This window comes from Homo sapiens, chromosome 10 (assembly GCF_000001405.40).
Source record: "Homo sapiens chromosome 10, GRCh38.p14 Primary Assembly".
NCBI lineage: Eukaryota > Metazoa > Chordata > Mammalia > Primates > Hominidae > Homo > Homo sapiens.
Genome location: NC_000010.11, coordinates 88,859,821 through 88,883,879, shown reverse-complemented (window position 1 = coordinate 88,883,879; position 24,059 = coordinate 88,859,821). Strand labels below are relative to the sequence as shown.

At 39.1% G+C, this 24,059-nt stretch overlaps 2 protein-coding genes and 1 pseudogene across 12 annotated transcripts in view, besides 3 other annotated features; 1 reads left to right on the top strand and 2 right to left on the bottom strand.

The window, feature by feature from the left end:
• The window catches only part of STAMBPL1 (STAM binding protein like 1), a 43,243-nt gene extending 39,608 nt beyond the window's left edge, over window positions 1-3,635 (bottom strand). For 4 of the 11 annotated variants that reach the window (XM_047425552.1, XM_017016456.2, NM_020799.4 and 1 more), the window contains exon 1: window positions 3,242-3,635. The gene's annotated coding sequence lies outside the window, so the exon portion shown is untranslated. Of the gene's footprint in view, window positions 1-1,257; window positions 1,419-1,743 lie in introns of all 11 variants that reach the window. The other 7 variants (XM_047425553.1, XM_011539983.2, XM_047425555.1 and 4 more) reach the window with 4 other exon arrangements.
• Window positions 707-1,906: an enhancer, noted in NCBI's record as "MED14-independent group 3 enhancer chr10:90641731-90642930 (GRCh37/hg19 assembly coordinates)". NCBI's record gives its function as "activates an origin of replication core promoter dependent on BRD2, BRD4, P300/CBP and CDK7 cofactors, and independent of MED14, by STARR-seq in HCT116 cells {active_cell/tissue: HCT116}" and the evidence as "EXISTENCE:reporter gene assay evidence [ECO:0000049][PMID:35650434]".
• Window positions 2,927-3,036: an enhancer, noted in NCBI's record as "active region_3727". NCBI's record gives its function as "activates an Ori minimal core promoter by ATAC-STARR-seq in GM12878 lymphoblastoid cells {active_cell/tissue: GM12878}" and the evidence as "EXISTENCE:reporter gene assay evidence [ECO:0000049][PMID:35858748]".
• On the top strand, window positions 3,216-4,146 carry LOC124902551 (uncharacterized). The gene has a single exon (XM_047426134.1). It carries the CDS (start codon window positions 3,458-3,460, stop codon window positions 3,983-3,985), a length of 528 nt encoding a protein of 175 aa, XP_047282090.1. The 5' UTR covers window positions 3,216-3,457; the 3' UTR covers window positions 3,986-4,146.
• Window positions 3,617-3,746: a silencer, noted in NCBI's record as "silent region_2589". NCBI's record gives its function as "represses an Ori minimal core promoter by ATAC-STARR-seq in GM12878 lymphoblastoid cells {active_cell/tissue: GM12878}" and the evidence as "EXISTENCE:reporter gene assay evidence [ECO:0000049][PMID:35858748]".
• PTCD2P2 (pentatricopeptide repeat domain 2 pseudogene 2) lies at window positions 6,338-7,493 on the bottom strand (annotated as a pseudogene).

Here is a 24,059-nt window from a genome sequence, read left to right as displayed (position 1 = left end):
TTAATATTCAAGACAATGCACCCATTTCCAAAAGAGTACCTTGAAAGGTTAACTACAGCAAATCAAGACATAAGAATTACTGGTGTTTATATCAAGGGACTTCTTTTAATAAACACAAGTTACTAAGCAACCACCAGTCAAATTAATGTCTCTAAGCCAACCACATCAATGGAAAAAAATAACACAGATTTAATTTAAAAGTTAGAGCATCAAACAATATGTGTTTTGAAGACTCAGCAGTATGCCAAATGTTAAATTGGCCTGTCCACTTGACATGCAGAGATGGAAGATTGTACTAGACGTTAATCTGATTTGCTTAGAAATGCAAATAATTTCTGACAAAAGCCACATCCAGATGTAGCTACATCCAGATTATTCCTGAGTTGAACATTCTGATGTCAACTCAGGATTTCTGAATGTACATTCACACGTTCAATTGGACAGTTCACATGTTCAGATAGGTGGAATAAGCAAGTCAACAGGTACCAATAGTATTTTTTGTTGGTTTTAGTTTTGTTTTAGAGTTTTGTTTTTGTTTTGTTTTGATTTTGTTACTGTTTCTTCAATCGAGGATGTTGGCCTTCTTAGTTGATTATATGAACTGGGATTCAATTTGATGAAATGTTTGGTGATTCATATAAAGTTATGATTTAAAAAATAGCAGAAGAGGTGATGTAGTAAAAAAGGATGAGTTCATGTCCTCTGTAGGGACACGGATGAAGCTGGAAACCATCATTCTCAGCAAACTATCGCAAGGGCAAAAAACCAAACACCGCATGTTCTCACTCATAGGTGGGAATTGAACAATAAGAACACTTGGACACAGGAAGGGGAACATCACACACTCGGGCCTGTCGTGGGGTGGGGGGAGGGGGGAGAGATAGCATTACGAGATATACCTAATGTAAATGACGAGTTAATGGGTGCAGCACACCAACATGGCACATGTATACATATGTAACAAACCTGCAAGTTGTGCACATGTACCCTAGAAGTTAAAGTACAATAATAATAAAAAGACATTCTAAAATTTGTCATTTATTTAGCAAATATTTATCAAAGAGCTGCTATGCATCAGCCCTAAGGAATGGAAATCTGGCTCTAATATCTTCAGGGATAACCATGAGTCATTTCCTGTAGTTTCAGTTGAAGCCATCTATAAATCTTTCATAAGGTCAAGAAAAAGAAGATAGTAGCAGACAGAATCACAAATCCAGTAGATTAATTAAAATGTCCCTAATTTGTAAATGTACCCACCAGGAAAGCACCTAGCACTTCCTGGACGGAATCTACATTATTTTCTCTCACATTCCTTCTACTTCTCATGTTTTGGGCAAGAATCATCAGTTTTCTTTTCTTGTAAAATGCAATCTCATTTCTTGGATTGTAGCTGTAAATTCTTACAGCTGGGAAGGGTCCTAAAGGAAGGAAATGATCAAACGGTGTTAATTAAGTCCTATGTGCTGAAAGTAAGAAGAGAGAACTATTACTAACAATTCTTTATAACTATTTTTATCAGTCCTTCTTAGGAATCAACCCCAAAGACACTCTCTCCTCCAGAAGCAAATCTCTCTATTGAGGACATCCTCAGGAAACTGGTTCCTCACTACTCCCTCCAAGCCTCCCACAAACCGTAAGAATCCTATGAAACAGGGCAAGAGTACCAAGAAACAGGCCTTGAAGGTTGAGATAGAGGTAAAGGACTTAGGTTATCTGCCTTATAATTTAAATTTTGGTGCTTACTTTATAGGTGAGGATAAGAAAACAAGTTTCTTCTTGAAATTCCCAAGAACCAGTTGCTACATAAATTACAGCCAACGTATACGCAAAAGCAGATTCTTAGTGGCAATTTGCTGTATCTGTGTCTGAACAGAAAACAATCAGCCAATTCATTTTGCAGGTAGATTCCAATAACATTTTATGCCTTTGAATGGAGAAGCTCTCATGGTGCAAATGGTAAACAAAAAGAGCCTACTGCTCAGCGACACATTAACTTGTATTAAAAATAAAGATATGTATAGTGTAGCTACACAATGCCCACTACAATCCAGTGGCAGAGTATATTTTTGAAGTGCAATGTAGCATCCATCCTGAAAACACAAAATTTCCAATGGAAACAAGGTCGGGATAAAAACAAAACACGGTGGCTTAATTTCTGTGTAAAACAACCGTCAAAACCTACCCTCAAAAAAATTGACACGAACAATCAAACATTCAGGTATAATTTATCTGCTGGAACAAATCTACGTTATTGACCTTGACAGGGCCTTAAATCATGAGACCATAAACAAGCATCCTAGTGATATCTATTATGTCTTCGGAAATAGCTTAAAATCCAGGACTTCATGTTATTGTCAGTAATGAGCAAGATGTTTGGAAAGCAGTGTGCTCACTGGGGCTTACTTTGAAAGCTGTCTTTTTTACTTACTACCGAACACTGATTTCCAGGAAGCAAGCCACCCCACCCCACTTCCCAGGCACTTGATTTTTTTTTTCAAACCTCTAGATTGGGTTCCGTTTCCTGAATTACTTATTCCTTACATAAATTTTCTTTTAAACTTCAGCAATTATGGCACCTTAGGCTCTGGGGGTATCAGCAGCGTGGGTTGTTTTAGAGAAAGTTCTGAAAAAAATATGTTTTGGAGACATTCCATTTCTTTGTGCATCTCACTGGGGGCTTTCAGCGAAAGCTTTAAGTTATTCAGGTGAGGGGCAATGTCTTAGTCGCTCATAAAGGGCATAAAAGTAACATCATCTGGAAAGGCATGGCACCTGCTCGGCCGGGGTAAAGGTCCGTTTTTCTAACCCTCGCCCCTCCCTCCTCCACACCGCGCCGCTAGAGACAGTGCAGTGGTCTCTCCCAAGGTCGACATCATCTCCAAGGCTGCAACCCAGGGCTGAACCAAAAAAACAGGCGCACCCACGTATAGGTCACGGCCAGAGTCCCGCCCTGCCACCAGCAGCCAGGTCTTCCTGCCTCCCTATCAAGGTGAAACTAACCCAGAGGGCCCAGCGGAGGGGCGCATACAGGCGGCGCCGATGGAGGCGGCCGATTGCATGACTGGCAGGAAGGAAGCGATCAGCCGCCAAAGTGCATTTTTTCCTCCCCTAGAGCCAGCCCGGGACCGGACGCTGCCAGCGGAAGGGCCGGCGCGCGCCAGGCCACGAGGCAGACGCACCCGCCGTGCGCACTTCCCCGTCCGGTGCGCGCTCTCACTCACGCGCGCGCGCCGCTACTCACTAGCAACCCTTGGTGTCCGCAGCCCGTGTGGGACGGCGACTGCGACGGCTGCCCCCGTGGCTGCCGTGTGGCCTTGGCATCCGTCCGGCTGCTGCAACCCGGGCCGCGGTGGCTTTTGCTGGAAGGCGTTGCAGCGGGGTGATACCGGCACCCGGCGACGAGGCGTCCGCTCGTTTGCCTCGGCCGTGCCTCCTCCCCCTTCTCCTCTGCCGACAGATGGAGCTTTGCTGGTTCCAGTCGCGCGGGCTCCGTGCGTCGTTCTCCTCCTCGCTGTCGGACACCCCAGCGCAGGGGACGAACAGCGTCCTCGCAAGCCCACGCGCAGGCCGGCCGACCCCGAACCTGCAGCAACCGTCCCTGCTGCCGCTGCTGCAGGAAAATAAATTGTCACTGCGATGGTCCCGGCCTCCCCTGCCCCGGCCCCTGGGTGCCGCCTCCGCCTCTGCCTCCGCCCCCTCCTCTGTGGCGGCGGCGGCGGCTTCCCGCATTCTGCAGAAAAAGCTCGCAGGTGGAAGGAAGCAGGGCCCCTGCGGATGGCCTAGAGCCCGAGTGAAGCGGTTGGGTGCGACTTTCGCATCTGAAACCCTGCACGTCTTCTCCCCAGACCGGAACCACCTAAACTCCCTTTTGCTCCACCATCAATTTCACCGAGATGGACAGGAGTGGTGCCTTTTAAGACTGCACAGTACACAAGCCTTGATGCAGCTGACCGTTAAACTGTCACTGGAGTCTGGGGAAGGATAGGGTTTTGGTGAAAATCCCACTTATACTTCATGTTAGGATTCCCTTTTTGATATTTATCCACAACTGGCTACGCCCACTATTAAGCATCTTAGCCCTTCCCCCTACCCCCAATTTGTGTGTACTTGGAAAATAAGAAGTATTAGAATATCTCCTGGATGTTATGTTACTATCACGTGTGGTGTTCTTACTACAGTTCTGGCACTGTGTCAGGCAGTCGGTACACAAAATCTTAGTCCATCTGCCACAACCCTGTATATAAAAGGGACTCATTTTTTGTTTTTGTTTTTGTTTTTTCCATGAACGAGAGACAGAGAAGTAAAATAATTTATCCCAGGTTACTCACCTAGAAAGCAGTAGAAGCTGAAATTTAAACTCTGATCCAACACTGAAAGCTGTTTCTATTGGCTTCACAGGTTCTATTAACTGATAAACATTTTATGGAGACTGCTGCTGCTGGATGAAATAGAGTCGCTTTTCTTGAGCTTGGTTGGGAGCTTACTTCCAAGTGAGAGAAATGGCTGCAGAGTGGGGTGGGGAAACACTGGCTTTTCTTAGTTAGCCTTTCCTCTGGAAACCAAAATTCTAGCCCTGGCTCAGCCACCAACTGAGTTATTTGGTCTCAAGCATTTCACCTTCTTAAGCCTCATCTCCCTGGATTCTTTTTTTTTTTTTAAATGAAGAGTTTGATTGTTGGAGGCAGCCTGCAGCCTTGATTTTTAAGAAGCAACAGTGTTGTTTTGCTTAGTTTTAAGTTGGTTCCAAATGTTGAAGTTAGGAAATTTCACAGAAATTCAGACTTTTCACATTTTCTGTAAAATCGTAACATCAGACATTTGGTCCATGGCGAGTTCTAGCAACCATCAGCTGAAGCTGAATAGCAGGTGTCGCCTTTAGACTGTGAAGACACTCTTCAGTTTTCCACAGTCCCCACCACTCCCATACACCCCCACCTCACTGACATTTGAGAATATGGTAGGCATTTGAGTTTGCAGTATTGAACCAGATAATCTCATGACCTACTGGACAATTTAAAATTCAGTGGTAATTAAGAAGGTTAGCCAGATTCCTAAAAAGCATTATGAAACAAAAAATTCCACGTACGTATTTAGAGTGGTCATTGATCATGGTCTTGCTATCTAGCATCCAAATTCTCATAAAAGCCAAAATGGCCCAATACCCATCGTCCCCTGCTCCCCAGCGGCTAGAGTACCATTTTGTGACCCAACATCAGCCTCAGAGACTCCTGTACAGTTATTTGAATCTGGATTATGTGTTTCAAGAAGAAACATTTTAGAAATGTCTCCATTATCTGTGAAGTGGGTTTTGTGTTCAGGGACAGTAGTGCCAGAGGTAACACTGCGGCAATGTCAGTGGTGTCCTAAGTGAGCTATTTGAATGGTGTGATGACCCACCTGTTGTAATTTCAGCTGCTAAGCTTCCCTTCCTGTGTAAGGAGACTTATTTGCCAAACTTCCTGTCTCTTTGGTATGCTACTTAACGACTTTCCAATATATTTCTCTTCTGATTCAGTTAGCCAGAAATGATTTCAGCGTTGTGACCAAGAACTCTGATATAGCAACTTTAGGTGTGATTTATTTCCCTTTTATTAATTGAGTTAATGAAGAGCAAGCACCAGTGTATTTATACAACTTTTATCTTAGAGAATTTTTAAGTGACCTATAGTTTTACTTGCATTTTTAAAGATTCAATCTCAATAGTAATTTAAAATCCAGATTTCTTTTTGCTCCAGAACTTTTGTTTCTCTTATTTTTGAGACAATTTTACCCTACTAAACCTTGAATGAAGATTTCAAATCTATATGCAAATACACATAAGCACTATTATTTTGCAGATGAGAAAATGAGGGCTCAAGTTACAGAATACATGAAGGCAGAGCAGTGAGGAAATCCTGGGCTATTTTCTGATATGGTAGAACAGGGTTTCGGACCTCCTGAATTCAGCAAGGGTATAATTTGCAAGTAATTACTCCCTTGAAAATCAGAGTTGACCACACTTGTAGTGAAATTCATTCCTGATAGTGCCTACTGGGTTCCACTCCAGTACTGGAAGCTGGACTGGAGACAGTGACCATGTTCCTTCACGGATCCTCAGTAGTGTGCACAGGGGAAGCCTGCTTTCTGAGGGAGCTGAGCTTTCTGTGCTTGTATCTAGATCTTCACAGTGGCACGACATAACTTCTCAGAGAGCAGCATGCCACCATTCAGTGATTTTAGGGAGGAAATCAAGTGTCACTGTAGTGTCTGCTGAAGTGCGATGCCTGCTTCTTAGGGAAGCCAATAACTCACTGGAAGCAGGTCTTCATACCCACAGGTGGATTGAAACTAGGGTTTACTCAGCCAACAGGGACTGGCCCAGTGCCTGGAAGGTCTAACAGGTGACCATCCTGTTGTTTTATGGCAACATGTGGGATTTCCCGTCCCTTACATTTTTAAACGGATGTCGCAGAGCAGAACATCCAAAGTGTAAGTGGTGACCTGGACAACGATGTGCAGTTTTCCATACATCTCATGAAATCTGGCCACAAAGACAAGCGCAACTTTCCCTTTTTTCCTCACTTTGGCCAGCAGTTCCTCTGAGAACTCACGTCTTTCAACGAATCTTGATACATTTCCTTCTGCAACGCCCTTTAGTATCTCCATCACAGTTGCTAACATATTTGACTGGATATGGATGATCATGTTTAAATTAGTAAACTTTATGCTTTCTGGATTCATGATGTGAGAAAAAATGGACATAGCTTTTGCCACCTGGTTCTGATGTCACAGGAAACAGGATGCTCTCCTGGAGAGAACTCCTTTGATTAGGGCTTCTTTTCTTAATGTAGTACAGACTTAGAAAGATTCAGAGCTATTCATTTTGTGGCCAATTGCAAAATCAAGAACATAGGTATCCTGGTGAACTTTCCATCTGGGTTTTTCATCTCTGTCAATATTTCCAAAGCACTTATATATTTGCTTTTGATAAATAACATAACCATCAAAATAGTAAATTGTGTGGAGTCTGAGAACCGTTGTAAATATTCATCTTTCCTGAGCTCCATTGCAGATTCCTCAAGATTCGAGTCGTAACACAGTCTTATGAAAAGTGGTCCAAACTTAAATTCCGCCAAAGTGACATTTTTGTTTTCTGTATGGTACTTGCAAATGATGTTTTTAGCCAGTTCCACATGGTCCCAGGACTCACGCAAATGAAGTAGGGTTCTCAACTTCCCCTTCAAGATGAGCTTGTTCTAGTTCAATTTCTCTTCCAAGTTTCTAAAATAGATTTATTTGGTGCCAGGAAGATTATATTCAACAGCCACCTTCTTATGCTGAAATTCTTTTAATTTCATAATATTATCTGTAAGTAGATATCTTTTTGCTCCAAGAGGACAGTGGCAGCAGGTGGAGCCGGAGCCTCTCATCCCGGGATACACTGAAATCTGCAGCGCTGGCAGAAGAGCTCATCTGGAGGACCAAAATGCCGCAGCCATACTGTCTCAGACTATACCAACTCCAGACTTTTTTAAAAGATAGGATTTTTTTTCTCTTACCAGTAATATTAACAAATGTTGCTTATCAATAAACATTTCTTCATTTCTGGTGAGGGTCCAATGAAATCAGCCCTCTTATCTGGTGGTGTGATTCTGTTACAGTGCTGGAAAGGAATTCGTCAGTGTGTCAAGGAACATTCTAAAATGTACTCTTCCCATCTCCTACAGTAATTCCACTTCTAAGAAGCAATTTATCCTAAGGAAATCTGAAATAAAGAATAAGATTCCTCCACTGAGATATTTATCACCAACTTTGGGTATTAAAATTATGTTTATGACGGACTTTTAATGATGTTGAAATTGCTTATGATACAATGTTAAGCAAACGACACAAAATTGCATGCGTATATATCTCAAGTAGGTAAATCTTAAATAGATAAGAATACAGGAGGAAATCCAGAAGAAATTATTTAAATGGCCTCCTAGAGATTGGTTATGGGCAATTATGGTTGACTTCTTTATACTATAATTTTAATTTTTCTATAAAGGACATGCTTTCCTTTTATTTTGGAAGAAAAAATATTTAGTAATTAAAACATAAACAGTCCTGGCGTGGTGGCTTATGCCTGTAATCCTAGCCCTTTGGGTGGCTGAGGTGGGTGGATCACGTGAGCCCAGGAATTCAAGACCAGCCTCTACTAAAAATACAAAAAATTAGCCAGGTATGATGGTGCACACTGTAGTCCCAGCTACTCAGGAGGCAGACGTGGGGGAATCACCTGAGCCTGGGAGGTTGAGGCTGCCATGAGCTGTGATACTGCCATTGGGCTCTAGCCTGGGCAAAAGAATGAGACCATGTCTCCAAAAATAAAAAATTGAAAAAAAAAAAGAAAACAGATTTGGCAGCCAGATAAATATGAAGTGGAATCTGCCACAGTACCTCATTCATGATGGGTACAATATAAATATTTGAGAAAAGGACAAAGGTAAGAATAAAGAAGAGAGGAAGGAAGGAAAGGCACATTATTTCATAAAGAAGAGTGATGAATTGAGTGATTGTGTCTCCCCTGTCATTTGCTTAGTTTATGCCATACATGGAAATAGGCCATTACATTCTAAATAGGTTCATTAACTAATGCTGCATTTGAGCATTTCCCAACTGATGACAAGTGACAAGACATTAATGCCTTTCTCACTGAAAGGGAAATATGGAGCCAGCACTCAGATTTTTTTCTGTTCTACAACATCAGAGCTAGATCTGTTCTGAGAAGCTGCCATAGCCTCAAAGTGTTGGTATTCAAGACAAAGAGGACCTTTCCTGCCTCTGACTGGTCTTAATATGGAGGTCTGTCACTCTATCTTTAAGGTACCCCAAAGGCCATGAGCTTGGAGTAATCTCTCGTCTCCCCATCTGGCAATGCCCTACTAGGATCTTATTTCTTCGAACTGATGGTACAAAAAGAGAATATTTAGTGTTGAATTTACCTTAGTCAGGAGATTAAAACTATTTTCATATACTGTACTGGAATCGTTTGGTGTATGCACACAAAGTGGTGGTTCTCATTGACTGTTCTTGCTGACACCAGATAGGCTGGAGTCCTTGTTCTTTGTTTTAAATTTAGAATTTCCAGGCTCTGGATTATCTCTAAAGACAAAGCATCCAGGGAAAGAAAAGAACTAAGACTCAAATGATTCTACTGGAAAAAAATATCCTTCTCAGAGATTATTATGCACTTTAAAGTATGTGCCTCAGAAATTGTTATATTATTGAAAACACATATTTTTAAAATTCTGGCTTTGTTATTGTTTTTATCAGTAGTTCTCAAAATATGGCTTAGGGATCCCTGACAGCCTGTAAGATCAAAACTATTTAAAAAAAAAAACCACAAACACATTATTTGGCTTTTTCACTGTCATTCTCATGGATTTGCAGTGGAGTGTGTCAGCTACACGTATGATATCACCACAACTAGAATGCAAATGCAGATAGGAGAATCCAGTCATCCTTAAGCCAGACTCAAAATATATTTGTAAAAATAGAAAGCAATGACAGTTTTCTCACTAATTTTTGTTTCGTTTTGGGAAATAAATTGTAATAAAAATGTGAATATTTATTTAGTTTAACGTCATTAATTTACTATTTTTAAATAAATTAATAAAATATGTTTAAAGTTTTTGCTTTATTTTTCAATGCAGTAAACATGGGTAGATATAACCCACAGAAACAAAAGCTCTCTGGAATCCTGAATCATTTTTAAAGATAGTTTTTAAAAACATAAAGAAACCTTTAGGCCAAAACGTTTGAGAAACACTGGTCTATGCTATTAAAGAGTAATAAGTTCCAAATAACCTATTTTTTTATTTGAGGAATTATAACTATGGTAATTTAGCCCGTGTCATTAAATGCAGGAAGCAACTCAATTGCTCCAAAACTGGAAATGGCAGGCACAGTTAATTTTTTCCACTCATGTGATTTATTTTGGTGCTTTCTTCCTGTTACTTTAAACTAAGACAATTTTGTATCCATTATGTCCCCATATCCAGATACTGAATGAGGTTTGGGAAATACATGGAATCTTTTCCTCTGCTGCCATTTGCAAATTGTCCTGGACCTAAGCTACCTGAGCTTATTTTTTCCCATTTGAAAACGGGGAATAATGGCTCTGGATTGCTCTTAAGGTAGTTATGAAGGAAGTGAAAAAGCATTCTGAAAAATTATGTGCTTTGCAGATATTAATATAAGGCTTACTACTAGTAAACATTTCAATATACAGGCAGACATTTGATGAAAAATGTAAATTCTCTTTTCTGCTGATATTATTTAACCCCTTCGATTTAGGTACATAAGGCATTGGTAAATGTGGACCAAATATTAATAGTGTTTGGGGTGTTAGATTTTTTTAAAATACCTTTTTTGCAGGCTGATTTACAAATGTAAAATATATGTTTACAAGGGCAGAAAGGTGGAAGGAGACCTGGCGGGAGGTCATAGAACAGCATCTGATCCCCACAATCAAAATATATAAATATACTCTGTAAAAATTGCATCTCCCCTGGGGCTGCTCCGGTGCAACAGAAATCCTTCCATCATAGACTTTTGCTATTATTTAACACCTATACAGTAGGTTTGAGCAGCTTCCTTTTAAAAGAAAAGTGGTAGATATACAAGATGGCACTGTATCGGTATTTAAATTTTCTTTGGTCAGGAAAAAAAAATCTGTTTAAAGAAAAATGTGACCACTGGATATTTTACTGGAGTAAATAATGCTATCTTAAAATGCAACTCTTAAATTTATCTATGGCTATATCAGCAAAGACGTGACCTTTCCAAGGACAAATATTAAAAATTGCAAATCCCTAAGTACATATTTGGGCATGTTTCTGGGCTTAACACTCAGGCTCATAATGCTGTAACACTATGTCTTAGTCTGTTCAGGCTGCAATAACAAAATGTCACAGACTGATTGGTTTAAACAACAGAAATCTGTTTCTCACAGTTCTGGAGACAGAGAAGTCCAAGGTCAAGGTACCTGCTGATTCAGTCCTGGTAAAGGTCCTATTCCTGGCTTGCAGATTGCTGCCTTCTAGCTATGCCCTCATAAGGCTGAGAGTGAGATCTCTGTAAGGTCAGCAGTCCTATCAGATTGGTGCCTACCCGTATGACTTCATTTAACCTTAATTACCTCCTAAAAACCCTTTCTCTAAATACAGTCACATTGGGGGCTAGAACTTTCACATATGAATTTTGGGAGGTTACCTGTTATTTGCCATTTGAAAGTAAGTACAAAATAGACCTTGGATGAAGCCACATAGTTGCATACCTGTCTCTGAGGAACTACAGCATTACAAAGGAGTTGTAATCATGGATTGGTCATTTTATACATTAATTTATTCAATTTTTCTGATTAAATGCCAAACTTTGTCATCATAATTCACTCTGTCATAATATATTATTTATATTTTCAGAGGCTTGAGTGAACACAAAGAAATGCATGCCCCTCTCCAAAAAGAGAAGGAGAATTTCTAATAAGTTGTTGATACTGTCTTTCTTTGACTTAATAATTTTATTTTAATCAGAGAAACCGCTATCATTCTTTGAGGTGGAAAACAGGGTGCCCTCTGAGCAAGAAGAACCTTCGAGTTTTAGTATCAGAAGGTATCAGAAATATCATTTAGTCCAATTTCCTTACTTTATAAAAGAGAAAACAGATCTTGAAAGTGCCAATAACTTATCCAAGTCATTGAAGACTGTACTACATCTAGTTATCTGTTCCATTCTGATCAGGAAACATGATTAACTTGCTACTACCTAGGTTTCTTAAAGATGGATTAAAGATTTAAACATAAGACCTAAAACCATAAAAACCCTAAAAGAAAACCTAGGCAATACCATTCAGGACATAGGCATGGGCAAAGACTTCATGACTAAAACACTAAAGGCAATGGCAACAAAAGCCAAAACTGACAAATGGGATCTAATTAAACTAAAGAGAGAGCTTCTGCACAGCAAAAGAAACTATCATCAGAGCGAACAGACAACCTACAGAATGGGAGAAAATTTTTGCAATCTATCCAACTGACAAAGGGCTAATATGCAGAATCTACAAAGAACTTAAACAAATTTACAAGAAAAAAAAACCCCATCAAAAAGTGGGCAAAGGATATGAACAGACACTTTTCAAAAGAAGACATTTATGCAGCCAACAAACATGTGAAAAAAACTTCATCATCACTGGTCATTCAAGAAATTCAAATCAAAACCACAATGAGATACGATCTCACATCAGTTAGAATGGTGATTATTAAAAAGTCTGGAAACAATAGATGCTGGAAACAATAGATGCTGGAGAAATAGGAATGCTTTTACACTGTTGGTGGTAGTGTAAATTAATTCAACCATTGTGGATGACAGTGTGGCAATTCTTCAAGGATCTAGAACTAGAAATACCATTTGACCTGGCAATCTAATTACTGGATATATATCCAAAGGATAATAAATCATTCTACTCCAAAGACACATGTACAAGTATGCTTATTGCAGCACTATTCACAATAGCAAAGGCATGGAACCAACCCAAATGCCCATCAATGATAGACTGGATAAAGAAAACGTAGCACATATACAGCATGGAATACTATGCAGCCATAAAAAATGAGTTCATGTCCTTTGCAGGGACATGGATGAAGCTGGAAACCATCATTCTTAGCAAACTAACACAGGAACAGAAAACCAAACACCGCATGTTCTCACTCATAAGTGGGAGTTGAACCATGAGAACATATGGGCACAGGAAGGGGAACATCATACACGGGGGCATGACAGGGGGAGGGGAGCAAGGGGAGGGATAACATTAGGATAAATACCTAATGTAGATGACAGGCTGTTGGGTGCAGCAAACCACCATGGCACGTGTATATCTATGTAACAAACTTGCACGTTCTGCACATGTATCCCAGAACTTAAAGTATATATATAAAAAAAAAATTCGATAGGCACCTGTGTTCAACCAAACAGCCATTATTGGCCCCAAGACAGTTGAATTTTAGGTCATCAGGTGTGATCTTTAGAAAATTAAGGTTGAGTCGATGACCCTGTACCCTCTTGATCCAAAATGTTCTTCTCTACTTGGATTATTGGAACCATGAGCACAAGCCACTTTGGCAGAAAGTGAAGCTATTTACTCCAATGGTTAAGACAAAAAGCTCTGGAACCAGATAGACCTGGGAAGCTTAGTTTGCCACTTTGCATTTTTGTGGCCTTTGAGCCAGTAAATTAATTTCTGTTTCCTCATCTATACGACAGGGAGAATAATCCTAATTTAAAGAAAGTTTGTAAATATTCGTGAGCTGGTCTACTAAAGTGCTTAGCCTGTGTGGATACCCAATAAATTATCATCATCATGGTTAGTAGTAAAAGACAATTCTCAATTAGGAAGTAGTAGTTAAGGCTGAAACAGATGAAGAGACATCCCTGAGCTATCCTGTAAGTTCATTAATTCACACACACAGCAATAGGAAGTTGTGTGTGGTGGGGGAAGCAAAATCTGTCTTTGTATTTACAGGGCATTTAACATGCAAATATCCAAGCTTACTTTTCTGGACAATGATGCACTTTACTTAAGTATTTAGTTTCTGTTTCAGCCCTGATGTCAGGGCCAAAAAGAGACATTTGCAATGCAGGCTAGGAGACAAAGGAAACAAAATGCATCTCTTAGCACATGTTTCATTAAGATTTGATACTAGCTTGATTAAAATCTATATTGACTTAGCCTAAGGAAGCTTTTGCAACATAAATAACTTCCTCTAGCATTATCTCAGTGCCTGGAGAATGAGTTGAATTCCAGAAGCTCTTGGATGATGGGGGATGGAATTACGTGTGATCTTCAGTTTCTTCTTTTTCCTTTATTTTTTGAATGGTATTATTTCTCTGCTTTTCCAATATTTCTGAAAAAAATCTATTATTTGTATAATAATAAAAATTTTTAAAGTTGTAAAAGAAATACATCTTCTCTCTAATACACCACTGTAAAAGGCCATTTTGAAAGGGGCTTCAGGCCACTGTGTTCAAGATGATTTGGAGAGGAGACAGACTCGAAGCAATCATCTGGGCTTAAGATGGTAAAACCTTAGGTCTTTCCCCAATATGTTCTCATTTTGGTCTTCCTACTCACTGTAAAAAAAGAAAAAATATATATCATTGAAGAATAAAGATATTTAATGCTGCAGGAGACAAATCTGGTTGCTCTAAAGGATTTCCATGAGCTGATGACCTCCAGTGAGTCCTCTGATGAGGGGATCTAGGACATGCCCCTGAGGACTTGCCTTAAACTAGGTGTTCCTGACAGAGGAGGTCTAGGATGAGCCTGGGGGCTCTGGAAAAACTGCTGGGACTCACATCTGCCTCCTACACTGCTCCTTTTCTGATCAGACAAACATTTCGCCTCTCTTATCCCCAGACTTTTAGGATGCCATTTAACGAATTACCCAACCAAACTTTGAGGCAAACAGCCAACTATTTACCTCTTCTTCATATAAAACTAGAATGTTTTTAAAATAAAGATCTAAAAACAGAAAAATTAAAATCATCTTGTGATCTCACCACCCAGAAAGATCCAGCACTTTGGCTTATCTACTCTTAGATACATCTATTTATACAAACACACATACTACTCCATATATCATTCTATGTTTATTTTACCAAACTAGTATTAGAATATGCATGTTCCTTAATAACTTTTTTCTTTTAACAAATGGAGAACATTTTCCTACATTAAAAAAAAATCTTACAATCTTTACATCCAATTACATCAGCTCAACAAATTGTCACCAGATGACTTCTAAATGTCCAGCACTGAGAGATGCTACAGGAGTCCCAGTTCTGCCACTTACAAGCTCTTTATTCTTAGGTAAGTTACTGACTCTAAGTCTCAATTTCCAGATCTCTAAAATAGCAATGAACATTATATTGACTTCAGTGTTTGTGGGGTGATTCATTAAGGTGATGCACTTAAGGTGCTGATCAAGGTTCCTAGCATGTAGTAAACAGTCAGTATTAAATATCACTGTTAGCATTATTTATAATAGTATTGAGCTTGTCTCTACCATATCTTTCAAAGGCGTTGATCATCCTGACCCAGTAGTCCATTTTCCAGTGAAAATTCCTGTCTTCTTTTTCCTTCTTGGGGCGTTGTATTGTTTCACAGCACATTAGCCACTGTGTTGGTCTGGAAATAACCAGCCCAGTCTTCATTTACATCAGTAAAGACACATAAAATCTAACTTTACATTTGTTCATAGCCATATACACTGTATGCCTACCATTCCATTCAAATCTAAGGAAGCCTAATTCAAAATTACTATTAGGAAAAAATTAACAACAGACTATTCATATGAAAGCAAAAAATAAATTTGAAAACAATGTAATATCATACAATTATTTTATAAAACTTAACTTTTTTGTGATGGTTAATACTGAGTGTCAACTTGATTGGGTTGAGGGGTGCAATATGGATCCTGGGTGTGTCTGTGAGGGTATTGCCAAAGGAGATTAACATTTGAGTCAGTGGGCTGGGGAAGGCAGACCCATCCTTAATTGGGTAGGCACCATCTAATCAGCCTCCAGCAAATATAAAGCAGGCAGAAAAATATGGAGAGACCCGATGGGCCTAGCCTCCTAGCCTACATCTTTCTCCCGTGCTATGCTTTCTGCCCTCGAACATCGGACTCCAAGTTCTTCAGTTTTGGGACTCGGACTGGCTCTCCTTTCTCCTCTGCTTGCAGACATCCTGTTGTGGGAACTTGTGATCATGTAAGTCAATACTTCATAAACTCCCATATACATATACGTGTGTGTGTGTGTGTGTGTGTGTGTGTGTATCTCCTATTAATTCTGTCCCTCTAAGAGAACCCTAATACACTTTTCTCACCACTTAGGGGAAAGAGGGAGGACATCTTTGCATCTTTAGAATCATTGGCACTTAAATAACAAAAAGTGACATGCAGCTTGGTAAAACAATCAAGATGCAAATAAAATATGCATTTTAAATCAAAGCATGTGAAAATATACACAGAGAGAAATAAAATGATTGGAAAAAAATGCACATAGATATTGATAGTGAATTTTCCCTAAATGAGTTTTTAGAATCATGTTTCTTTATTTTCCAATTAAAAAAAAATAAGTGTTACTTTTTTGCTTTGATTAAAATCTAGCAAATGTTATGTTTTAAAAAAAATAAGAGTACAAACAAGAATTTGTAGCATGTGGGACTCCCTCCTCCTGTTTAAATTGAGCAGTAAACCAGAAGATGATCCATAAGGCCCCTTCTGACTCTAACAGTCTATAATTCTTTAAGGGAGAGTGCAATGTGACATTTAATTAATGTAAATCATAGAAATGCGAACATAATCAAAGCAGCTTATCTTAGAAGGAAGATGATATAATATGTACAATTCACTTTGGAAAATTGCTAGAAAAATATTATTTTGTTTTACTATAAGGACGAGGCAGAACACTTTTAGATCAGAAAGTCTATATTGTGAACTTTTTGAGAAGCAATCCTTCAGGTATAACACTTTATTTTATAATCTCAGCATTGAAGTGTACGTTAATCAAGAAATATTTAAACTTAGATCATTACCCAACTAGTATAAATGTACTTGTATAAATCAAGGAACAAAAATTGTATCTCACAAGAACTGAGAAACACTATTCCAGGAAGCATTGTTGCAGAGTAAGCAACCAACAAGCAGTTACTCTCATCAGCGGTCCTCATGAAGAAGTGTTTTTTCATATAGATTAAGATAAAATCTCTAAGATTCTAGAAACTTGCAGGTCAGGGATTTAACACTTTTAGAAATTGTATTGTTTGAAGAGTTTACCCCAGGTCCAGGCCTTCTGGATGATATAAATACCCAGTTCCTTTTTCTTTAAGATTGAACCTAGGATAGATCTTACACCTGGCTTTAGTAAATGGGAAGGCAGATGATTTACCCAATGTCTAAGAGGCTAAATTAATCAACCAAAATAAAGGACAAGAAATGGGTGTGTATAGGCATTTTCTAAGGAGAAGCAACCACTTCTTTAGTGTTTTAGACAGGGTTAATAGTTGTGAATGAAAGAAACCAAGCAGAAAATATTGGCTAGAGCTCACAAACTCCAGATGGGTCCAAGAATCAGGTTTGAAGACAATGCAGCCAGGGCCAATGATGAAAATTATGCGGCAGAACTGGTCTGGTGGATATACCACTGGCACCATTGTCAGGTTGAGTCACTAATCATTGAGCCAACACTGGTTATTGAAACCTGTCTTAGGAGACAATTCTTCATTGGTGTCTTGCATTTCTTCACATCTTGCAAGCAGAAGCAGAAGCACTGGTTTGCCTTTGTTCCAGATTAACTTTTCAAGTATGTTCATGCAGCGAAAGCCTTGGAAGATACAGTATTTTCCTCCAGAGCAAAGGGCAGACATGCTTAGTGCCCATTATAAAGGATTCAGGTTCCTCTTTTGTAACACAGCCATTGTTTGTTCAGGCATCTATGTGAGCCCATCCATATCTTCTCTAAAAAAAATGCAGGTCGGGGGAACAGGGTACATGCTATGTTCATGTGGCTTGATGTGCCTTGAGTAGTAGAGACTTTTGTCTATGACCCGTGGGTCTCATGTCTTCTACCAGGATTCCTTAAAACGGCAGATTAACCTGGTAGCCAGTGAGTAGTGTAAAATCTCAAAACCTTCACAGTTTTTGCATCTTTCTGCTAGAATTGTTGCCATTACTGCTTTTAGAGATTAGAGGCAGACACTAGAATGGAAATGGCAGAATATCAACTTCTTCTCTTCCGAGTTTCTAATTCCATGCTCAGATGGCAGGTACTTCTAATTGTTTTACAATGTTGGACCCCAGGTCATATGTCTAAGGTGAAAAGGAATCTGAGAAGTCTATTTTTTTTTTTTTTTTACAATTTCCATGGTAGGAAATTCTCCAAACATAGCTTGCTTGGGACCACAGCCAAAATCATAGACAAATGTCTACTGTTAGCAGTCATTCTGTATTTTTTAAATTGATACATAATTGGAATTTGACTCTGTCAAAGGCTCATTCCAACAACAATAACAAAAATAGGTCTATAACATCCCTCAGGGAAAGGCCTTACAGTCCATGGCTCTTAGCAGAGTTGTTTGTGTCACTTGGCAAAAATACACCAGATGGCACTCTAAGTTGTAATTCTACTTCTGTTTTCTTCTAACTAAATTGAATGAAGTGTTTTCATCTCCCATAGCCTATTAATGGGAGGGCAAGTCAGTGCACATCGGAGTCCAGGAAAAGTAGGAAAAGTAGAGGGATACATCCCAGTTTTTCCTACCACGCTTCTTAAATAAGATTGCTTCCAGTGGTGCCATGGGTGATTCAGAGCTTGGATGAGGCATGTGCTAAGGGTGTCCAAGCCCTTACATAACCGTAGGTGGGACCGAGCCACTACTACCTGGGACAGCAAGAAGGTGGAAAGACTGAGGATGGGAATTCTCTTAGAGGATGGTGAGTTAGTGGGAGTGGGAAAGCAGCACTCACAGGAGAGGGTCCTAGAAAATCACAGTTCTTGGGAACTAATTTTAATCCCATTTGTCCTGCTCGAGCTCTGTGTGTGTGTGTGTGTGTGTGTGTGTGTGTGTATTTTAAATTTAAGAGCAACATACATATAGAAACATGTACAGATCATAAAGTCAACTGATTATCCTACAGTGAATATGCCTACAAAACCACAATCCAAATCAAGAAATAGAACATTGCCAACACCCCAGAAACTCCCTAAAAGCTGTTTTCCAACTACCATCCCTTTTCATTCCTCAAAAGTAACCACTACTCTGATTTTAACATCATGCATTAGTTTGCCTCTTCTAAAATTTATCAAAATGGAATTACATCTTCTTTTGTATCTGGCTTATTTGGTCAATATTATATTTGTGCAATTTATCTATGCTTTTGCAGGTAATAATAATTTTTAAATTTTTATTGCTATGTAGTATTTTATTATATTAGTGTATCAAATTTTATTTATCTGTTCCACAATTGATGGAATTGAGGTTAAGCTAACATTTGTCTACTGCAAATAATGCTACTTGAACATTTTTGTATGTCTTGATGCAGGCATGTTTATATTTTCATTGGGTAGATTCTAGGAAAATTTCTTGGTAATAGGATGTTCATGTGTAGAAATTTAATACATACTTCCAAACAATCCAGAGTTTTGTAGCAACTTATACTCCTACCTGCACTGAAGTTAAATGTGGAAGACCAGCATGCTTCACACAAAGTACATACTCAATACATATTTATTGACAGAATTAATACATAAAAGTAAGTAATTTGTTCTACAACAAGTGGACTCAACTCTGAGTTTAGACCATGTGCTTTTAATTTCTACACTGTACTATTGAAGAGAAGTGTTCAATTCAATTTTTACACTAATTGATGAGGCTCCACCAAGATTAAGATACATAAAGAGCTATTGAGACAAGAGATGAATGGAGATTGGAAGGACAGGAGATCCATTAAAAGGAGAATCTAAATGTTTTTCTGGGCTCTCTGAATCGCTGATGTATTGATGCAAATACATTAGTGGCAGTTATTTCAACCAAGCATGTTGGACCTAGCATTTAATATCCTGACTACACCATATGGGTAATCCAGCTGTGGGTCCAAGCAACTGAATTAAGAGCTGAAAGAAACATTCAAGGTCAATGAGTTACCTCATCTAAGGCTGGTCCCTTGTTCATCCCAGGTTTAGCCTCTTCTTGAGTCCAGAGAACTCATATTAAGTGCACTTAATCAGGTTGGCTTCTCCCTTTGTTTCCAGGGTAAGTTGTATCTGTTGAGAAACTTTGAATATATGTACCAGAGTCATATCCCTACTTTCTCCTATTCTGATTATATGGGAAAAATTTGGAGGACAGGGAAAGATAATGGCCACTCATCATTTGGTAGCCTAACCTGGGTTTCTTTTTGTGGTGGCTGGATTTCGAAAGAAGGCAGAAAAGAAACTGGCAGACCTCTTAAGATTTAGGTGCAGAACTGGCATACCATCCCTTCTGGCACATCCTAGTGGTCAAAGCAAGTCCCAAGACTAGCCCATATTGACGGCAAGAGCAGTCTGCAGGCACAGGTATGGGAGAAATTGTTGGTGGCCACCTTTGCAGACAATTTCCTACACTCTTCATGTTCTTGACACTTCAAATCATTAGTTCATCTAATTTTGATGACTATTATTTCACTGTTCTGCAAATTTGATGGGTTTTTTTTTAAAGACAAAGTCTTGCTATGTTGCCTAGGCTAATCTTGAACTCCAGAGTTCAAGCAATCCTCATGCATCAGCCTCCCAAGTAGCTTGGATTACAAGCATAAGCCACTGTGCCCAGCTTATTCTTCCACTTTTCAGATGAAGAAACTGATGTTCAGAAATCTGTAGGTCAAATAAATGCCCAAAGTCATCAATCTTGTAATGATAAAGCCAGGGAAGGGATCTTCTTCTCTCTCTCTCTTTTTTTTTTTTTCGAAGAAGTTGGTGTTCTTTTTAGTTACCTACAGCATTTCTCGTTTTTGCAGTATTGGTTAGGATACAATTTGGGTGTAAATTTAAACAACTTTGAGTTCAAGGGCCAGAAGAGAAAAGTGAAGCCTAAGTAGGTTTAAATTCATACAGGGATCAGAGCAGGAGCTTGAACCAAAGTCCTATATTGGTCTTAGACATCCAAAGCCCCAGAGAAGCACCTGCCACTCCGGCTCACCCAAATAACTCAGCATCTGTGGCCGTGCCTGCAGGGCTCCCCATTATCACATCTGAGTGTTATGACCTGCTGAGTGTTGAGCCCCTTGGATGTGCTTGGCGATCCAGGAGGCAGAGGTGAACTAATGATTGTTTCCACCTGTTCTATGTGATCAGGAGCCATGGGAGAGAGGAGCCCTGAGGTGAAGGACTGGGAAAATGTACAGAAAATCTCACATCAGCTCCTAGCTAATTCAGCCTTCTTGTTGGAACACCTGTGAAGGATTCTGCCTCATGCTGTTTGCCTCTGGGCCAGTGTCAGAGGGGTTTTGCTCTGAGAGGGAAAGATTAAGAACTGTGAATTTGCCCACCATGACATTTATATATAGTGTTAATAACACCAGTGTTGTAATGCAACAGGACAATAGCTGGTTAAGTTGTATTTTATAATAGAAAGGTCAGGGAGTGCAAGATCACAATTAGCAATATGGAGTGTCAATGGTTCAATGGTTCTTAGAGGCCAAAACGAGTCAAGGTCTGGAAGCCGAGAAACCATTAATGATAGCAGAAAGTCTACATTAGTTTAAGGAATAAAGCTCATTCAAATGAAATAAACTACAGTTCCTAGGGGGAGCAGGAGTGTATAATAGTACGGAGGAGGACTTTAGAGGCAAGCATCTGAGATTGAGTCTGAGATGATGTCTGTTCATCTTGAGCAGATAATTTTACCTGATGTCTGTTCATTTGAGCAGATAATTTTACCTCTCAGAGTCTTAATTTCCTTATCAGTAAAAAGGGAATAATAATAGTGTCAGTCTTCTAGGGCTACTGTAAAAGAGCATTAAAGGGTGCCATGTGGATAAGGTTCGTGAGCTATGTCCAGTGAACAGGAATCACTCAATGAATACTAGCCATTATTACTATTTTTTACAAACGTTATTCCAAAAAGCCATTATTTTTCATTATTATCTAAAGAGACTATCATGACGACTGAATAGACAATATGTGTTACGCACGTGGCAGAGGGCTCAGCATATGCTGAGTGCTAAATAAATGAGGACTGTTACTATCAGTATCAAGTAAATGCTAGGTAGTCACTAAAAATGATATTGAAGCCTATTTTATAACATGGAAGGATGTCATATACTTTTAAAAGGCAAGTGTAGATTGTAAAATGTGCACAAAGTCTCATTTTTTGCAAATACATAAATTGTGTACATATCCATATGAAGGAGATTAGGTTATATACCCAAAGAGATGCCATATACTTTAATGGTTAAAGTAATAGATACTGAAGCTAAATCTCCTGGCTTTGAATCCTTGTATTACCATGTATTAGCTGTGTGACCCTAGACAAATTACTTGATGTCTCTGTGCCTCAGCTTTCTCATCTGTTAAAAGGGGATGGTAATAGTACCTACCCCACAGGATTGTTGACCCTGTTAAAAGTGTTAGTACACGTAAAGGGGTTAGACTATTTTCTGGTACAACAAATACTATCTATATATTTGAAGATGCTATGTGTGTGTGTATTATATGTATGTGGCAGAATTCTTGGAATTTTTTTTCTTTTCTATTTTCCAAATTTCAAAGTTTTTATTTTAAAGACTAGAAAATCAGTTGGGATCAGTTGAAGCAGTATTTCTCAATCTTTTTTCATTGTCCCCCACCAAGGAATCTTTGTAGACTTTTTCTTTTAAATTATCCTTCCTCCATAAATTTTATTACCGTATATATATACTGTATATCCATTTATGTACTTGAAGGGAACCAGAATATGCCATTCCAAAATATGCTACATTGGTAAAAAGATAATTTTAAGTTGAAGACATTTGTGATTGAACAAATTTAGAAAAGGGGAAAAAGAAAAAGCAACTTTGAAGCTTCCCTTTTCTGACTAAAGGAGCAACTTCTGGGAAACAAGATTGTCACAAATCCTTTTCAGGGCATGTCTACTCCCAGAAGAGAGAGAGAAAATAAAACCTACCCCAAATCTCTTCTCCAGGAGGGTTTTATGACCCTGAAGGAGATGAAAGACCATTTTGTCCTGTGTAGACATTTTCACAAACTTTCTTATTGCCTGTTTTTTCTCCTGCAAATGCATTTATTTTTCCAAAAAGTCATTTGTTTCCCATAAGTGCCTTTATCCCTTTACTTATTAAAATGGTATATAAGCCCCAAATTCTAACCACCCCTTTGAGTTACTCATCACCAAGCTCTCCCACATGTACGCATGTTGCATGAATGAATAAACATTGTAATTTTCTCCTGTTAATCTGTTTTTTGTTAGTCTGATTCACGGGCCCTGGTGGCTAAACATAAAGAAGGCAGAAGAAAGTTTTTTGCCCCCTCCCCTACATATTATATTTCTATCTGTGCTATGTTTATAAGGATAATAGACTTTTTTCCCCTCAAGAAGAAATTTCATTTCCTGGGAAAACAATATTACTCTCATTGAGAATGTATGAGTTAAAATACAAAAAACAACCCCATATTAATGGTCAAGGAAGAAAGCTATAGTGTCTAGGAAGTTTAGTAGGTCAAAATCCTGGTAGTAGCAATTCAGATACACAAACAAACCTGTTGATATTTCATGGGTTATTTACCACAAGGGCTGTTTTGAGTTTCATGCCTGGAATAGAAATGAGCAGGCAGTTCTGGCCCCAAAAATGCCCATCAAAAGATGAGTACAGCTGTTGAAAGAGTAACATTAGGAACGTTATTCATTATACACCTTCATTAATTTTATGTAAAGAATTATCAGAATCTCAAACCCAAACGCATTTAAATATAAGTGCAAAAGTGCACCTGAAGCCAGATAAAATGTGAAATTTCCCATTGTGCTATTTCCTCTCTAGGCTTTTGTGTTGGAAAGATCAAAAATTGTCTTTTTTCTAAGTGGCCCAGTACCCCTAACTTTTGAATCACTTATTGGAATGCTTATTCAAATGCAGGTTCCCACATCCTCACCTAGAGATTCTGATTCATTACTTCTCATGTTGTGGGGGGTGGGAGGGTATTTACATTTTAGTAAGCCCCCAAGTTATTCTTTCTTTTTTTTTTTTCTGAGATGAGTCTTGCTCTGTCACCTAGGCTGCAGTGCAGTGGCTGGGTCTCTGCTCACTGAAACCTCCACCTCCTGGGTCCAAGCAGTTCTCCTGCCTCAGCCTCCCAAGTAGCTGGGATTACAGGTGTGTGCCAACTGTGCCTGGCTAATTTTTGTAGTTTTAGTAGAGATGGGGTTTCACCATGTTGGCCAGGCTGGTCTCGAACTCCTGACCTCGTGATCAGCCCACCTCAGCCTCCCAAAGTGCTGGGATTAC